This window comes from Homo sapiens, chromosome 5, assembly GCF_000001405.40.
Source record: "Homo sapiens chromosome 5, GRCh38.p14 Primary Assembly".
Taxonomy (NCBI): domain Eukaryota; kingdom Metazoa; phylum Chordata; class Mammalia; order Primates; family Hominidae; genus Homo; species Homo sapiens.
This window is the reverse complement of record NC_000005.10, coordinates 114,092,943-114,113,168: the sequence shown is the minus strand read 5'-3', so window position 1 is coordinate 114,113,168 and position 20,226 is coordinate 114,092,943. Positions and strand designations below refer to the sequence as shown.

Below are 20,226 nucleotides of genomic sequence, written 5' to 3'. Positions count from 1 at the left end.
TCCCAAATAAGAGAGATAAAATGGTTTTATTTAGAGATCTTTAAAGCAGATAAAAAATTTTTTGAAGTTTTAAAAAACCCTTTAAGGAGCCTGGCCCTCAATGGTTCCATGAGGTTCCTGTCTGAATCACTACCCATCTTTAATAAGTGCATTCCTCTCTCAGTATTTGAAGTTGAAACATGAAGCAATTCAGACTCTGGCTATTTGATTAAATTAATTTCTGCCTTTCAAGTTTTCAGATATAAAAATTACCCAAAAAGAGGAATTATATTCTCTGAACTGAGAGGATGCAAAAAGATCCCATTAGCATGTAGAAACATAACACATTTTGAAGTAATATGCCCTCACTCTCATGTGCATAACCGGTGTTATTCATCTTTTCAGAAATTATTTTAATTCAGTCTGGAAAATAAAACACAATTTAATATAGATACTTCCTGTTTCTCCACCCACATACTTATTTGCATTTTCAGCTTTTAATGAGGTTTGTAATACAAATACAATCTTGAAATTTACAGACCTTTGAGATTAACTGCTTTATTCAGTTTATATACTTACTAGAGAATCGCCCAAAAAGTATCTCAGGCCCAAAGTCACCATAAATGATTGGTGAAAAAAATAAAATTGGATCAATGTGTTTTTGGAAAAGCTCATGTGACCCAGAAGCCTTTTTATTTATTTATGTATTTTTTATTATACTTTGGTTCTATGGTACATGTGCACAACGTGCAGGTTTGTTACATAGGTATATATGCACCATGTTGGTTTGCTGCACCCAGCAACTCATCATTTACATTAGGTATTTCTCTTAATGCCATCCCTTCCCCAGCCCCCCACCTCCAAACAGGCCCCAGTCTGTGATGTTCCCCACCCTGTGTCCATGTGTTCTCATTGTTCAATTCCCACCTATGAGTGAGAACATGCAGTGTTTGGTTTTCTGCCGTTGTGATAGTTTGCTGAAAATGATGGTTTCCAGCTTCATCCATGTCCCTACAAAGGACATGAACTCATCCTTTTTTATGGCTGCATTGTATTCCATGTTGTATATGTGCCATATTTTCTTAATCTAGTCTATCATTCATGGACATTTAGGTTGGTTCCACTTCTTTGCTACTGTGAATAGTGCTGCAATAAACATACATGCACATGTGTCTTTATAGCAGCACCATTTATAATCCTTTAGGTATATACCCAGTAATGGGATGGCTGGGTCAAATGGTATTTCGAGTTCTAGATCCTTGAGGAATCACCACACTGTCTTCCACAATGGTTGAACTAATTTACACTCCCACCAACAGTGTAAAAGTGTTCCCATTTCTCCACATCCTCTCCAGCACCTGTTGTTTCCTGACTTTACAATGATCACCATTCTAACTGGCATGAGATGGTATCTCATTGTGGTTTTGATTTGCATTTGTCTGATGACCAGTGATGATAAGCATTTTTTCATGTGTCTGTTGGCTGCATAAATATCTTCTTTTGAAAAGTGTCTGTTCATATCCTTTGCCCACTTTTTGATGGGGTTGTTTTTTTCTTGTAAATTTGTTTGAGTTCTTTGTAGATTCTGGATATTAGCCCTTTGTCAGATGGATAGATTGCAAAAATTTTCTCCAATTCTGTAGGTTGCCTGTTCACTCTGATGATAGTTTATTTTGCTGTGCAGAAGCTCTTTAGTTTAATTAGATCCCATTTGTCAATTTGGGCTTTTGTTGCCCTTGCTTTTCGTGTTTTAGTCATGAAGTCTTTGCCCATGCCTGTGTCCTGAATGGGATTGCCTAGGTTTTCTTCTAGGGTTTTCATGGTTTTAGGTATTACATTGAAGTCTTTAATCTATCTTGAGTTAATTTTTATATAAGGTGTAAGGAAAGGATCCTGATTCAGCTTTCTACATATGGCTAGCCTGTTTTTTCCAGCACCATTTATTAAAGAGGGAATCCTTTCCCCATTGCTTGTTTTTGCCAGGTTTGTCAAAGATCAGATGGTTGTAGACGTGTGGTGTTATTTCTGAGGCCTCTGTTCTGTTCCATTGGTCTATATATCTGTTTTGGTAACAGTACCATGCTGTTTTTGTTACTAGAGCCTCGTAGTATAGTTTGAAGTCAGGTAGCACGAGGCTTCCAGATTTGGTCTTTTTGCTTAGGAATTGTCTTGGCAATGCAGGCTCTTTTTTGGTTCCATATGAACTTTAGAGTAATTGTTTCCAATTCTGTGAAGTAGTTTTTTCCAATTCTGAGGGTAGGAATAATGTGCATTTTTTAAATTCTAATTTTATTCCAGCACTAACACAGTTCATAGCAACAGTAGCTTCTCAACCATCATTCAGCAAATGAATGGACAGAGATCCTTTTATTGAAAGATAAGTAGCTGTCTGTAGATATGATTTCAGAAAGACATAGACATAGCATGCCATTTTCCCATGCAACTCTTCTACCTATCCCAGAATATTCAAAATCCCAAACTAAGGCACGAGGCATTTTATTCTACTATTAGAAAGAAGCTTAAAATAGAAATGTCCTGGAGAGCTAGAATATTTAGGCACTGGAGATGGTGTGTCCAAAAGAGAATGGGAAAAAAAGGAAACTGAAAGTAAGGTTACTTTTATTGCCAGCATCCAAGGCCTTAGAGGAGTACCCTGACAATCAATTCTACAATATTTTTGGATTCTAGGGTCTCTCTCCCCTTGTAGCTTCAGATTTAATTCCGTTTTCTAAAGTCAATCCTGTCTGAGAGCAAGAGAAATTTATGAATTTATGAGCCCCACGTTCTCCAGGATTCACCTGAGCTGGTCTTCACCTGGTACCTTAGTCCTGAGATCTATGTTTCTTATTTCTAAGCCTACTCCTAAAACTTCTGCCTTAGTTCTAATAATTTACACACCATGGTTATGTCTTAGACCCATTTCTTTATATTGCTATTATGCCCAGTATTGGCTTGTTACCTGTCTTAATCTGTCTTGTGCTGATACAACAAAATATCTCAGACTGGGTAATTTATAAAAGATAGATATTTTTCTCTCAAAGTTCCTGAGGCTGGAAAGTCTGAGATCAAGGCAACAGCAGGTTTAGTTGTTTAGTGAGGGCTGCATCCATTAGAGGGGAGTAACATTATGCTCTCACATGGAGGAAGGGCAAGAGACAAAAGCTTTGTGAAGCCTCTTTTATAAGAGCCTTAATCTCATTCATGAGGGGAGGAGCCCTCATGGACTAATCACCTCTTAACAATCCCACCTCTTACTACCATCACATTGGCAACATCTGAGATTTGGAGGGGCCGCTTTCAAATCATAGTACTACCCATGCTCTTGCAAGTCCCTCCCAGGAACTGGAACACTACCAGAAAATCCCCACGCCTTGACAGACATGCTACCTGTGAACACATCCCCAGATGGTGAACATCTGCCTCATCTGCCAGGAGGCATACCTGTGCCCTGTTTCTGTTGAGACATTAAGGAGCCACAGTTTGGAACCTCTTGTTGCACTGTAATTGGACTTTCTCCACATGAAGGAACACATGTAACTACAAAACCTGAGTTCTCCCAATTTGTCCCACCCTATTACATTTATTTGGTCATATTCGGTTGTGTCATTACTCTCCAAGGTGTTATGGCTAAGACAAAAAAAAGTGTGCATCTCTGGAGAAGGGTTTTAATCATCCCTGAAACTAGTTGAGGTGGACAAACTCTAAGATGGCCCCAATTATCCCTACATCCTGTTATTCATGCCCTTGTACAATCCCCTCCCCTGGAGTGTTGGCAGGACCTGCAACTTCCTTCTAACCAAGAGCATAAGGCAAAGTTGTTAAGATGTTACTTCCTTGAGTATGTTACATAAGATGGTAACTTGTACCCTGCTGCCAGACCTTAATGACTGATTCTCTTCATTGCTGGCTTTGGTGAAGAAAGCTGCCCTATAGAGAAAGCTACATGGCAAATAACTCAAAGCAGCCTTCAGACAGTTGCCAGCAAGTAGCTGAGGCCCTCTGTCCAACAATCCATGAGGACCTGAATCCTGCTAATGACTACAAGCTTGGAAACACATCCTTCCCCATTTGAGCATCTGATGAGACTCCAAGCTTGAGTGACACCTTGAGACTTCTGAGAGATCCTGAGCTAATCTCTGCCAAGATTAGCTTGGCACAACACCAAATTGGTGAGAATGTAAAGCAACAGCAACTCTCATAAACTGATACTGGAAATATAAAATAAATAAACCACTCTGGAAAACTCTTTGGCAAATTTTTATAACTTCAAATGTACATCTATCTTATGACCCAATGGTTCCACTTCTGTTTACCCAAGAGAAAGTAATACATATGCCCACAAAATGGCTTTTATATAATTGCTTATTGCAGCTTTAACCACAAAAGCCCCAAACTGAAAACAATCCACTGTCAATTGATAGCAGAATTGATAAACAAATGTTGTCCTATTCACTCAATGGCATATTACTCAACAATAAGAAGACAAGAAACTACTGATACATGCAACAGCATGCATGACTCTAAGAGATATTATGTTGAGACAAAGGAGTCAGAATCCCCCTCCCAATAAATACAGATGTATTATTCCTTTTTTGTTGAAGTTCAGGAAAAGGAAAAACTAATGTAATCTGTGAAAGAAGTCAAATGTGTGTTAGAGGTTTACTGGAACAGGGCATAAGGGAATTTCTTAGTAATGAAAATATTCTAAATCTTTATAGTGCTTTTTAATATGTGGGCAAAACTTACCAAATTATATAAACTTAAGAGCTGTATAATTCACTATGCATAAATTGTGCCTCAATTAAAAAAAGACTAGAGACACTGTGAACAATTTTATAAATATAAATTCAACTCTTTAGATAAAATTAACAATGTCTTCCATTTTATGACGAGGAAACAGATTTTCAACAAACTATGAATAATCTAATAAAGTGAAGATAAAGAATTTTTAAACCTACAGTAAATATTTTATACTGAAATGTAGAAATCCTTCCCTTCGAACTTTTTTCTTGTCATTACACATGAAATAAGAAGGTCTACCAAAACCAGTTCTATGCAACACTGTCCTAGAGAGGCTTTCAAAAAAAGAAAATAAAGATAGAAAATAGAGACAGAGAGCCACCATTATTTTTAGATAACATAAAATACAAATTAATCTTTAGCAAGGACATTAGATATCCTATCTACCAAAGTTAAAAAACAAAGCTTCAAAACAATACCATTTCTAATAGATTTGATCAAACACCTTATAGTAGATCCAATGAAAGTAATGCAACCAAGAACGCGGCAAAACGTCACCAAGAGAAATTAAAAATATATACAAGTGAAGGTTTATATTATGGTATATTTGAGAATTGGAAAACTCAATGTTGTAAAGTTGTCAATTGATTCCAAATTTACAGATAGATAGATAAAATTGATGTAATTCCTATAAAAATTCTAGCTGTTTTATTTATGGTGGAAATTGATGGGCTCATTGTAAAATGCAAATGATGCCTGCGTGAGGTGGTGCATGCCTATAATGCCAACACTTTGGGAGGCCCAGATGGGAAGATCACTTCAGCTCAGGATTTCAAGAACAGCATGGCAACACAGACCTTCGTCTCTACAAAATAACTTAAAAATTAAAAAAAAAAAATTAGCCAGGCATGGTTGTGCATGGCTGTAGTCCCAGCTATTCAGGAGGCTGAGGTAGAAGGATCACTTGAGCCTAGGATGTTGAGGCTGCAGCGAGCCATGATTGTGCCATTGCACTCCAGCCTGGGCAATGGAGTCAGACCCCATCTCAAAAAGAATGCACATTATAACACAAAGAGTGGACACTAGGAAATACAATCTTAAGGGAGAACAAACTTGGAGGAGTTACACTATCAGATACCAAGCTTATTGTAAAAATATAGTAAAAAAAACACTATGGTACTGGCTCAAAAATAGACAAATAGACTGTTGGAACAAAATAGAGAACTCTAAAGTAGCCTCAAACATGTATGATTACCTACTTTACAACAAAGATGCTACTACAGTGCAGTGAGAAATAATAGTTTTCTCAATGAATGGTGGTGATTAATTGGATAATCATATGAGAGGAAAAATTTTTTAAAAACCTTGACCCTTAGACTTCATGCATAAAAATAAGTTCCAGATGGATTGACTTAATGTGACTTAAAGACTTAAATGTGAAAGGTAAAATTATAAAGCTTGTAAAAGATTGAATAGGAGAATATCTTCATGACCTTGTAACTGCCAAAGATTTCTTAAACAAGACAGAAATAGCATCAAGCATAAACAAAAAGGTTGATAACTTGGACCTCATTAAAAATTAAAACTGTTCATAAAAAGTTATTAAGACAGTAAGAAGTCAAACCACTGAGTGGCAGAGGTTTTCAATACATATAGCTGATAGAAGACTCCCAGAATATATGAAGTTATTATGCAAATTAATAAGAAAAAGCAGACAATCTAATTTTTAAATGAGTAAAAGTATGCAGCAGGCATTTCACACACACACACAAAAAGACATCCAAATGACCAAAAAAAAAAAAAAAACAACTGGAAAATCCTCAGTGCCATTAGTCACCAGGAATATCCAAATTAGAGCAACAACAAAACATGATATCCATCTATTAAAATAGCTTTAAAAAAAACAAACAAGAATAACAATACCAAGTATTAGTGAGAATGCGGAGCAACTATAACTCTTATATACTGTTGTGATTTTAAAATAATACAACCACTTTGGAATTAATATAACCACTTTGGAAAACCCTTCGCAATATATACTAGATCTGTATATGCATAAATCCTATAAGCAAGCAATTCCACTCCTAGATATATATACCATAGCAATGAATGTAAATATACAGCAAAAATTATACAAGAGTGTTTATTACAGAATGCTTCATAATAGACAAAAACTGAAAACAGCCCAAACATTCACAAACTATAGAATGAGTAAAGTACAAAATTCAAACACAGAATTTGGCAAGAGAATTAAGTAAAAAAAAAAAATAGCTGAAAAAGATTAACAAGTAGACTGCTAATGGTAGAAACCAGATTTTGGGTACATAAATGTTCACTTCAAAATGCTTTCAATTTACCAAAATATTTAAAATTTTTCATTAGTAAAATGTTGGGAGAAAATATTACAACTAATAATATACTTGTTACTACTAACATATGATCAATTCAAAAGAAAAACATAAGGTGAATAAATACACTATGACTATAACAAATTAGAAAACTGTAATAAATGAACTTTTTATAGAAATAATATGAAATATCTCAGAATAAGTATAACAAGAAATGATAATATTGATGGAAATTACAAATTCTGCTTTTAACCAACCCAGACAAATAAACTAAATATATATTATTGCCAAACAAAAATGGCTGAAGACTGAGGACTTACCACAGTCCAGCATTAGACATTCATGAACTTTCCTCAGGACTAACTTTAATTCCTGAAAATTTCATGAACCTAATAAAAGAAGAAAGCAAATATGATAATCCATTAGCAACAAATTACCCTGGTATTTTGGCATCAAAATAATGTGAAATATATTTGATTTTTCAAAATAAAATTATAAGATAATTTGATTACATGAATGCAGTATTGTATACACATTGTTATAAATGGAAGCAAAGCACATCTTAATGTTTTTAGGACTCCCTTAAGATCGACTCATGTCAATTTATCATTTTATCAATTCAATTTTGTTTGACTTACAGATGACTTGTATTGACTACTAACAGGAAGAATACCAGAAGCAAATGAGACTTGCAAACAGGATGCTATCAAAGAAGCTGTAGCTTTTGCTCTTGGCTTTTTAAAAATGTTTTTGCATTTAGCTTCTGAATATAAAGATACCCTCAAATCAGGATCAAATATCTTCCTGAAATCACTGTTTATGGTTCAGTTATTTATATTGATGGGGATCTCAACAACCAAAACACCTCTGAAGATGATCTGTGTGCAAGGCAACAAATAGGCTCTGCGGGGTGTGCAAAGATGAACAGGAATAGTTGCAGCCATCTGAGAACTGCCAAGCTCCAGTCTAGGGTAAGGATTTATCAGAGAATACGCTGTAATAGAGTTTTTGACAGAACATTTCCTGGGGTATATAATTGTACTCGTGATGAATGAACCTGTTGCAATTTAACACGTTCATTAATGAATCAGAAGAGAAGACAGAATAGGTGACACTGGGAAAGTCACTTAACCTCTTGTGGCCTCCAGCTTTTCATTGTGCCTCTTTGCTCCTGCGACACAACTATTTCTACTCCCTGAGCACAATCCTCTCTCTTTATCTTCAAGAGCTTGCAATGAACCCTGCCTAAACATTTTTCCTCCATCTCTCTTCCCCTCCTTTCCTCCCCCGAGCCTGCCTTTTTCATTCAGACCTCAGCAGAGATATAACTTATTTTCTCAGGAAGTGTGCCTCCATCTCCCCATTCTGAGGTAGGCGGCCCTCTCATGCACTCCCACAGCATCCAGTCATGTTGCTTTTATCATTCTTGTATATTTGCTGATTTGCATGTATTTTTTCTTTTCTATAATGAGAAGTTTCCATAGGTCTAGAACTTGTCTTGTCAACTAGTTTATATCCAGGAACCAGGGTATTGCAAACAAACATGCTACACTTGGTTCTTTGAAAAGCATATATGGGACACTTCTAAAATCAACACCCTAACATCACCAAAAGAACTAACAAAGCAAAGACAAATTCAAAACCTAGCAGAAGACAAGAAATAACTAAGATCAAAGCAGAACTGATAGAGACATGAAAGACCCTTCAAAAAATGAACGAATCCAGGAGGTTTTTTGAAAAGATTAACAAAATAGATAGAACACTAGCCAGACTAATAAAGAAGAAAAGAGACAAAAATCAAATAGACACAATAAAAAATGATAAAGGGGATATCACCACTGATCCCAAAGAAATACAAACTACCATCAGAGAATACTATAAACACCTCTTAGAAAATAAACCAGAAAATCTAGAAGAAATGGATAAGTTCCTGGACACATAAACCCTCCCAAAACTAAACCAGAAAGAAGTCAAATCCCTGAATAGACCAATAACAAGTTCTGAAATTGAGGCAGTAATTAATAGCCTACTAACCAAAAAAAGCGTAGGACCAAACGGATTCACAGCCAAATTCTCCCAGAGCTAAAAAGAGGAGCTGGTACCATTCCTTCTGAAACTATTCCAAGCAATAGAAAAAGAGGGACTCCTCCCTAACTCTTTTTATGAGGCCAGCATCATCCTGACACCAAAACCCGGCAAAGACACAACAAAAAAAGAAAATCTCAGGCCAATATCCCTGATGAACATAGATGCGAAAATCCTCAATAAAATATTGGCAAACCGAATCCAGCAGCACATTAAAAAGCTCTTCCACCAGCATCAAGTCAGCTTCATCCCTGGGATGCAAGGCTGATTCAACATATGCAAATCAATAAACGTAATCCATCACATAAACAGAAACAATGACAAACACCACACAATTATCTCAATACATGCAGAAAAGGCCTTCAACAAAATTCAACACCCCTTCATGCTAAAAACACTCAATAAACTAGGCATTGATAAAATGTACCTCAAAATAATAAGAGCTATTTATGACAGACCCACAGCCAATATCACACTGAATGAGCAAAAGCTGGAAGCATTCCTTTGAAAACAGGCACAAGGCAAGGATGCCCTCTCTCACCACTCCTACTCAACATAGTATTGGAAGTTCTGGCCAGGGTAATCAGGCAAGAGAAAGAAATAAAGAGTATTCAAATAGGAAGACAAGAAGTCAAATTATCTCTGTTTGCAGATGACATGATTGTATATTTAGAAAACCCCATCATCTCAGCCCAAAAACTTCTTAAGCCGATAAGCAACTTCAGCCGTCTCAGGATACAATTTGCAAAAATCACAAGCATTCCTATATACGAATAACAGACAGAGAACCAAATCATGAGTGTACTCCCATTCACAATTGCTACAAAGAAAGTAAAATACCTAGGAATACAATTAACAAAGGATGTAGAGGATCTCTTCAAGGAGAACCACAAACCACTGTTCAAGGAAATAAGAGAGGACACAAACAAATGGAAAAATATTCCATGCTCATGGATAGAAAGAATCAATATCGTGAAAATGGCCATACTGCCCAAAGTAATCTATAGATTCAATGCTATTCCCATCAAGCTACCATTGACTTTCTTCACAGAATTAGAAAAAACTACTTTAAATTTCCTATGAAACCAAAAAAGAGCCCATATAGCCAAGACAATCATAAGCAAAAAGAACAAAGCTGGAGGCATCACGCTACCTGACTTCAAACTACACTACAAGGCTACAGTAACCAAAGCAGCTTGGTACTGGTACCAAAACAGATATATAGAGCAATGGAACAGAACAGAGGCCTCAGAAATAACAACACACATCTACAACCATCTGATCTTTGACAAACTTGACAAAAACAAGCAATGGGGAAAGGATTCCCTATTTAATAAGTGGTGTTGGGAAAACTGGATGGCCATATGCAGAAAACTGAAACTGGACCCCTCCCTTACACCTTATACAAAAATTAACTCACAGTGGATTAAAGATTTAAACATAATACCTAAAACCATAAAAATCGTAGAAGAAAACCTAGGGAATACCATTCAGGACATAGGAATGGGCAAGGCCTTCATGACTAAAACACCAAAAGCAATGGCAACAAAAGCCAAAATTGACAAAAGGGATCTAATTAAACTAAAGAGCTTCTGCACAGCAAAAGAAACTATCATTAGAGTGAACAGGCAATCTATAGAATGGGAGAAAATTTTTGCAATCTATCCATCTGACAAAGGGCTAATATCCAGAATCTACAAAGAACTTCAACAAATTCACAAGAAAAAAAAAACAAACAACTCCATCAAAATGTGGATGAAGGATATGAACAGACACTTTTCAAAAGAAGACATTTATGTGGCCAACAGACACATGAAAAAAAGCTCATCATCACTGTTCATTAGAGAAATGCAAATCAAAATCACAATGAGATATCATCTCATGCCAGTTACAATGGCAATTATTAAAAAGTCAGGAAACAACAGATGCTGGAAAGGACGTGGAGAAATAAGAATGCTTTTTCACTGTTGGTGGGAGTGTAAATTAGTTCAACCACTGTGGAAGACAGTGTGGCAATTCCTCAAGGTCTAGAACTCGAAATACCATTTGACCCAGCAATCCCATTACTGGGTATATCCACAAAGGATTATAAATCATTCTACTATAAAGACACATGCACACGTATCTTTATTGCAGCACTACTCACAATAGCAAAGACTTGGAACCAACCCAAATGCCCATCAATGATAGACTGGTTAAAGAAAATGTGGCACATATACACCACGGAAAACTACGCAGCCATAAAAAGGATGAGTTCATGTTTTCTTCAGGGACATAGATGAAGCTGGAAACCATCATTCTCAGCAAACTAACACAGAAACAGAAAACCAAACACCACATGTTCTCACTCATAAGTGGGGGTTGAACAATGAGACCATTTGGGCACAAGGAGCTGAACGTCACACATTGGGACCTGTTAGGGGGTGGGGGTAAGGGGAGGGACAGCATTAGGAGAAATACCTAATTGCAGACGACAGGTTGATGGGTGCAGCAAACCACCATGGCACATGTATACCTATGTAACAAACCTGCACGTTCTGCACATGTATCCCAGAACTTAAGTATAATAATAATAATTTTAAAAAAAGAAAAAAAAAAAAAAGAAAACCATAGATGGTGCCACTGGCATAAACCACTATGTAAATGGCGCCACCTAGAGATGTGATTACACCTACTGCACCAGGACCAATATAATCCTGTGCAGGACAGTGCCTAAAATGTAAAAGTTTGAATCATATTTATGGGATGGATGACTATTGAGCCAAATATTCTCTAAAATTTTTCCTAATTCTAAAATTCTATGACTACTCACAAAGATTTAAAAGTGGACCACAGCTGGGTATAAACAAAAACTACCAAGCAAATTATATCCAAAAAATGTAAACATGTACCAAATAATATTCAGTTTAGAATTTATGGACAGAGCTTTAATATCCAACCATAAGAAATAAAAGTTATAATAATAGTGAAAAATATAAAGTTATTAAAGCACTTAATGTAAGTATATCCATAGGTCTGTATATAAAATAAGGATATTATATAAATATTTTGAAAAGAGATCTACAATATTGATATATTAATAATTATATATAAAATGTAATGTAACTATGGACTTATATTCTTCTTAACTAAATGTTTTATAATCCACTATTTCACTATTCTTTTCCTGTTCAAACCTTCTAATTTTGGCCAAAATGGACATCTCCATATCGGGTTTTGAATACGTCTTATTTTCTGGCCTAATAAAATAGTTTAGGCTTGGCTTATACTTCTCCTCTGACCCGGAATCCATAATTTCTCCAAGAAGCCTTAGTTCCTTTCATTTAGAAATCAAAGTCTGGGCTCCAGGGATCTCCTTGTCACTGGGGACTCATTGCCTCTTGGCCCTTAAGATGGGCAGAGCACATACATACACACACTCATAAACACACACATACCCACATGGATACATATATTCATACTGATACACCCAAGAAGAGGATACTTCCTCTCTTCTTTTCATTCGTAGTTTGTTTCTGCATTCTCTGCAGTGAGAACACTGGTTTCCATGAACAATATACTTAGTTCCTTGATTAATCCTATAATACTCAAAATCCAGCAATACTACACCCATACCCAGCAATACTATTCCAACAAGAAACTTAACAAATTAATATTTCTTTGGGATTCATTTTACTTTTAAAATATATTCCACTAAGGGAAGAAAGCTAGAGCTCCATCTATAAAATCTACCTGGACTACTATTTTTTTCTTCTTTGTAGTTATTTTATAAATTTGCTGTATATTTTGGGTCATTTAATCTTGGGGGTTTTCCTTCACCCTTTTAAATTTATTTCTCCTATTGGAATACGTAAAACATTAATATGGCTCAAAATAAAATCTACATTAAAATTACACTCAGGTCTCATTCCTTTCTACTGTTTTCATCCACTGCTTGTAATTAATTTCACTCATTTCTGATCTATAAGATTGAGATTTATAGAGATGTTTAAATTAGGAATAAGATATTATAACATGATAGATTGTAATTTGTGAAGAAATACATTGAGCATCTCATATCCTATGGAGTTCATACAAAAGTACAAAAGACTTACTTGAATAATGTATTTAATATTTTATAAATAAAAACTTTTCTTTATATATATTATTTAAAAGACACCTTTTTGTGTGAGGACCTCTCTAATGTCAAAAATATAAATCAATTCAAACGTAATACCTATGGTCATTATATAGACAGTCTTTTTGACTAAAACTTTTTGAAAAGTAGGGCTACTATATCTGAAGAAAAGCAATCTGGTCCAAAAATTTTTCCAAGAACAAAATCATAAATAGCACAATTGCCAATGAACTCTAAATATGAAGTGAAAAGACTCTAAGTCAGGTATGGTGGCATGTGCCTGTAGTCCCAGCTACCTGGGAGGCTGAGGAGGGAGGATCCCGTGATCTCAAGAGTTTCAGGCTATAGTATGCTATGATTGCACCTGTGAATAAGCAATGCATTCCACCCTGGGCAACAGAGTGAGATCCTGTCTTTTCAAGAAAAATAAAAAAGACTCTAATAATAGTCTTAACTTTTCCTCAATGTAGTTGCTAGGACTTGGTCAAGCAATTTTTCTCCTCCAAGTTTTTGTTTTCTTATGTGCAAAATGAAAAAGGAGGTGGAAAGAGGAAGTGGGAGTAACGCTTTTCAGTTCTAGCAATTGGTGATTTTTTATAATGCTATAATCTTGCTATAATCTGTATTATATATATAATCACGCTGAGAAACCTTGGCCTACATATTTATGTATGTGACTGGCCCCAAATTGGACTGGTCTTAATACTGGAGGAAGAACCTGGCTGCCTATGTGGTGTGGTTCCAGTAGTTCAGGGTACGTTTTTTGTCAAAAGAAAACACTTATCACATCAAATTTGATGAATTATTTATTTTCAGAATAAAGTCAATCCTTTGGAGAAAAGCCTAATATGTGGTAAAATTGCTTCAAGTCATTTATATTTTAATATAAATAAATGTTTTGTGTTATACAAATTTTATAGCTGGGAGGGATATTTGTGGATTAAGCCTTCTCTCAAGGATGTGGAGTACTTGGTTCCCAGTCTGACAGTGAGTATAATGTCAGATTCTAGACTGGAGCCAAAGCCCTAGATTCACCCCTGTGGAAACTATGTATGTAACCAAATGCCACTGGTACCCCCATAAATTTATACAAATAAAAGAGGGAAAAAAAGATTGGAGCCAAATCTCTGTGCCACAGGTTTCATGTTAATTCTATGACATCACAGAACCTTTCTTTTTCTTTGGGCAATCCTCCATAAAAGAGAAGTGTGGTAGACCAGCGGTCCCCAACCTTTTTGGTACCAGGGACCAGTTTCGTGGGAGACAATTTTTTCACGGACATGGTTGGGGGAATTGTGCAGGGGGGAGTGGGGATGGTTTCAGGATGAATCTGTTCCACCTCAGATCATCAGGCATTAGCTGGAGCTTGCAACCCAGATCCCTCACATGCACAGTTCACAATAGGGTTCATGTTCCTGTGAGAATCTAATACTACCACTGATCTGACAGGAGGCAGAACTCAGGCAGTAATGCTCACTTGCCTGCCACTTACTTTTTGCCATGCAGCCTGGTTCCTAACAGGCCACAGACTGGTACCAGTCTGTGGCCCAGCAGTGGGGACCCCTGTGGTAGACCAAACAATGGTCCCTAAAGAATCCAAGTCCTAATTCTCAGAAGCTGTGAATGTTCCCTTACATGGTAAAAGGGACTTTGCAGATATGATTAAGTGAAGAACCTTGAGATGGAGAGATTATCCAGGTAGATCAAATGAAATCACAAGGGTCCTTAAAAGAGGGATGTAGGAAAGTCAGACAGAGAAGAAGGCCATGTGATGACAGAAGCGGAAAGAAAGATGATGAGCTACGGAAGGAGCACAGCCTCTAGAAACTAGAAAAGAGAAGGGAAGGGATTATCCCCTAGAGCCTCCAGAAGTGAACCAGCCTTTCCGACACCTTAATTTCGGCCATGCAAAATTCATTTCAGACTTTTGACTTCCAGAACTGTAGGAAAATAAACATGTTGTTTTAAACTACTATGTTTGTGGTAATTTGTCACAGCAGCAAAAGGAAACAAATAAAGGAGACTGAAGGAAGCTTAGGACACTGGAGACAAATTAGCAGAATATTCAGAGGAGGTACCAGGGAGGAGGTGGACAAGGTGCTTACCAATGGCAGCTCACTTGATAAATCTAGGGGGAGCTAGTGGCCACTCTCAGAGCTTAAGATGGAATAGAAGTTCTAATCAAAGAGTCTGTGCTCTAATACTTTAAGTGGATGGGGAACTTTATATGCTTTGTTTGCCCTCTGAAGAAAATAAGAGCAAAAGAAAACAAGAGACGTTCATGTTTAATTGTCTGCTACCTTCAATAGCGGCAGGACTGGGCAGGAAGTGGCGAGAGACAGCATTTTAATATTTTGACACTCAGCCAGGGGAACAAGCTATAGTGAATGAAACCTACTACTGTCTTCAGGCTACTTCAGATCCACCATAATCCATGAGGTAGGAATGAATGCTAAACATATACCCATGACACTAGTGACCATCAACTACAGGACACAGAGACAGTTCTCCAGCAGTGCTAATGGATTTGCACAGGTATTACAACAGTCTTTATCCTTTTAAATGCTGGAACTAACTTGCAGATCAGAGGGTTTGTAATCCGAACAAAATGAAATTGACTGGACCCTGTGGGAAATACCTCCCCAACCATGATTACTTTCCATCATGTGAAAACTAAGATTGGACCTATAATTAATTTGTAATGTCACCTACAAGAAAAAGAACTTTCATAAAAAGCATATTTCCCGAACAATGTCTATCAAATCTAACCATTCAAGTAGGTCTACTATTTGGATCTAATACTTTCAGGATACATTTATGGAAAGAGGTGTAATTGCCTAGAGTTCAGAGTTGAATAGATCTGGGTTCAAATCTCTGCTCCTTTACTTACTAGCTAGGTAACCCTGGGCCAGTTACCTGGTGTCTCTGAGTCTCAGTGTCTCATCTATATAAGGGAGGTAATAGCAGAACTTGCTCCACTGGAGTAATGGAAAGATTAAGTGGGATATGGTAGGTTTAGTTACAGTAGCTATTATTCTGGCCATCCTCTAAAAGATTACAGATGAATACTCTGTCTCCTTGAGCCATCTTTCCTTTGTTTGCATGGTTGTCAATTAGGATGGTAGATCACCAGGGTTTCTGTGGCAGAGTCTCCAGGACTTTCCAGTGAGAAATGAAGCCTGTGGGGAAGAGAAGTTATGCAGGGAAGAGAAAGTCTGCAGGAAAGAGTGGAACACAGGAGGAGTACCACGAGGGAGAGAGGGACCTTCCTGGGGCTACAGTGAGATTTCCCACATCTGTGGGAGGTGAGTAAGAACTTCAAATCCAGGCCTGGATTCTGCACCATAGCGCCTGACAGAGACAGGAGAGGAGAATGATACCACATGGAATGACTCTGTGATGTACAGGTCATGAGTATATAGCTTGGTTTCAAGTCTCTTCACTATCTAGATAGTGCAAGTCCTTATTTCAATTGTATTATGTAATAGAACTTGTAAATTGAGATTGTATTACCAAATAAGCCAGGGATCCAGTGTAGCATGGTCAAAGTTAGTGTATAGTTGTTTTAACTGTCTTTAACCTCCAAACCATGGCCTCCATATACGAATAGATTGCTGTCTTGATATTATGTGTTAAGCAGTTTAAATGCCTGATCTCACTGAAACGTTAAAATAATCCTTAGGAAAAGGTACTCATGCTGGGTAGTAGTTGAGATTCATAGCCAATATCACAGAACCTAGAGAGCTGGAGAATCACAGTTTGAATACAAATCTATTTGACTGCTGCTGAGCCTGGCTCTCTGACATTAAGTTACACTGCTCCTGGACAGTGATCTCAACCTGTGGACTCAGTCCCCAGGGGACTTCAAGGTATGGCAAAGGATCTATAGATCCATAGGTGCATTTTCTATAGGCCAGATAGATGACATAGCCTGTTTTTAAATAAATGTAATACTGATATGCTTGAAAAAAGACAGACTGGCATATATAAATGTAAACTTAAATATCCTGGACAACTGGACTATTCTCAGCACAGTGTACAAAGGATACAGCAGGTGCATATATGGAGTCCAATTTGGAAGTCAAAAAAAATTATTGGGGGACACAAGGAGATATGTCTAAGGCAAGTAGACTACAGCAGGGAGAGGAGTCCCATCCTAGGAAAGACGAGCTAAAAGGAGTTAGGTAGGCCAAGCCCTAGAGGAAGCCTGCTGTACTAAGCAGAGAAACAAGGTAGAAAATGCAAATAAGAAAATTAAGGCCAACTGAATGGTGCTTAAAAACATGCTCCCTGGAACAATCAGAATTGAATCTTGGTTCTGCCATTTGCTCTGTGACTCCAGGCAACCTTGTTAAATGGAACCTTTTATGATATAATTTGTAATTCCACTGTGATGCCAAATCTCTCCCAGGATCCAGTGAGATGAGGTTATAATCTGCCTTCGTTTTAAGTCCAAGTTACCTTCTTCTCCTGAGGCTCATAGGGATGTCTGAGCATTAAATGAGATAATATGAATTAAACATTTAGCACAATGCCTGGCAAATCTTCCTCTAAGCCTTGTTGGGAAGTTTAAAAGAGATAAGGCACAGTGCCAGAAACCTCACAAGTGCTCAGCAAAATGATAGTTATTATTATTAAGCAGGTATTTATTTAGCCAAATTCTGCTTCCTCTCTCTCCCTGAAACACAGTGATGTTCTGTGTCCAGGCCCACCTAGAGACAACAGATGTAAATGAAATTACCACAAACATAGTAGTTTAAAACAACACTGTTATAAAGATACCCCAAAAACAACAGATGTGGTTAGAGAAAAGAAGCTGCTTCATATTCTTCACTCTCTACTCTAGAAGACAGGCTGGAATCAGGCCTCATGCATATTGCATATAAAATAAGACAATATTTAAAGCAGTAGTAAAGAACAACAGCCATAAGATAAAGCAGTTGATAGAGAAAATTATCATATAAAAATATATAATAGAAAACCAATATTATATAAAAGCAGGATTGAATTATAAGAAAGCATTGAGTACTCCATTGTATGGTCATCAAAAAATAGTCAATAATGAGGACCCTAAGTTTCCAAGCAAATAGATGACATTAGGAGAGTTCTGATTCAGAGAGCAAAGCAGGGAAGTATGCAACAGATCTTAGAAGGATTTCAATCTTATAATTGTCAAAATAGGTTTTTATAAACCGGTTTTGGTACTTAAAGTGTTTCTTCGGAATTCACTTATGAAGCAGCTGTCTCCAGCAAAGCTAAATTCAGGAGGTGTTACTGTATTTAACCTTTGAAAAATCACTTTACTTGTTCCTTTTCTTTTCTTATTGTTCACAAAGCATGGAAGTAGTTTTTCCCCTAAATCCTAAGCCCAATTATCTGCCATTTGGTCTTCCAGAATGGCAGGACACTGTCTAGGGACATGAAGGCCAGCCAACACATGTTTAAACAAAGAAGAAGAATCCTTTCTTCTACCCTGACTAGACAACTACAGAGTCTTTCGAAAGATTCTGCAATGGTATAAGCTGAGATGCTCAGCTTGGATCCTTCTCAACAATTTTCAGATTTAAAATGCTCAGGTCTGGTGGGGTAAGTGTGGTTCTACAGATAATCTATTCTGTGCTGAAGACCTGAAAAAAACAGAATCTGGCCTTGAGGGAGCAGGGCAGGTAAAGAGTGTCACAAAACAGCTACACAGATATCCATCTGCTAGGGTGCAAGCAGGAAAGTTACACAGTCAGACAGCAAACTCTCTTTGGAAACAAAAACAAGGTCACCCATAAATAAGGCAAAACAAAAAAAGCAAACAAAAAACAACCCAAACAAACAAATATATTTATTCTTAAGTAGCATGTTACTTGGCAGGTGGAATGTTTAGCTGAAATGAGAACAGGTTTTAATCAAGTCTCCCACACTATATATACATAGATTGGTTCCTTAACCTTACAGAGTCTCAGTTTTTCACCTATAAACTGAGGTGAGAATATCTGTAACAGGGAAAATTCTTTAGGTTGTACTATGGTTAGGCTTTATGTCCCCACCCAAATCTCATCTTGAATTACAATCCCTATAATCCCCACTTGTCAAGGGAGAGACCAGGTGGAGGTAATTGGATCATGGGGGTGGTTTTCCACATGCTGTTCTTGTGATAATAAGTGAGTTCTCACAAGAGTCAATGGTTATATAAGAGTTTGGTATTTCCTCCTGCATTCATTCTCCTTCCTGTCACCTTATGAAGAAGGTGCCTTGTTTCCCCCTCACCTTCCGCCAGGAATGTAAGTTTCCTGAGACTTCCCCTGCCATGCTGAACTGTCAGTTAATTAAACCTCTTTCTTTTATAAATTACCCAGACTTGGGCAGTTTTTTATAGCAGTATGGAAATGGAGTAATACAGTAAATTGGTACTGGGAGTGGGGCACTGTTAAAAACATACCCAAAAATGTGAAAATGTGAAAACAACTTTGGAACTGGATAACAGGCAGAGGCTGGAACAGTTTGGAGGGCTCAGAAGAAGACAGGAAGATGTGGGAAAGTTTGGAGCTTCCTAGAGACTTGTTGAATGGTTTTGACCAAAATGCTGATAGTGAGATGGACAATGAAGTCCAGGCTGAGGTGGTCTCAGATGGAGGTGAGGAACTCATTGGGAACTGAATCAAAGGTCACTCTTGCTATGCTTTAGTAAAGAGACTGGTGGCAGTTTGCCTCTGCCCTAGAGATCTTGAGCAGAGAGAGAACTTGAACTTGAGAGAGTTCAACGTTGAACTTGAGAGAGATGATCTGAAATTGGAACTTATGTTTAAAAGGAAAGGAGAGCATAAAAGCTTGGAAAATCTGCATCCTGACAATGTGACAGAAAAGAAAAACCCATTTTCTAGGGAGAAATTCAAGCAGCTGCAGAAATTTGCATAAGTAACAAGGAGCCAAATGTTAATCACCAAGACAATGGAGAAAATGTCTCTA

General features: G+C 37.2%; 1 protein-coding gene across 3 annotated transcripts in view; it reads right to left on the bottom strand.

Moving 5' to 3' along the window:
• KCNN2 (potassium calcium-activated channel subfamily N member 2) overlaps positions 1 to 20,226 on the bottom strand; it is a 440,519-nt gene that overhangs the window by 383,328 nt on the left and 36,965 nt on the right. For 2 of the 3 annotated variants that reach the window (XM_047417166.1, NM_001372233.1), the window contains exon 3: positions 7,388 to 7,456. The exons of the other annotated variant lie outside the window; for it this stretch is intronic. The gene's annotated coding sequence lies outside the window, so the exon portion shown is untranslated. The remainder of the gene's footprint in view (positions 1 to 7,387; positions 7,457 to 20,226) is intronic. 3 annotated transcript variants of the gene reach the window in all.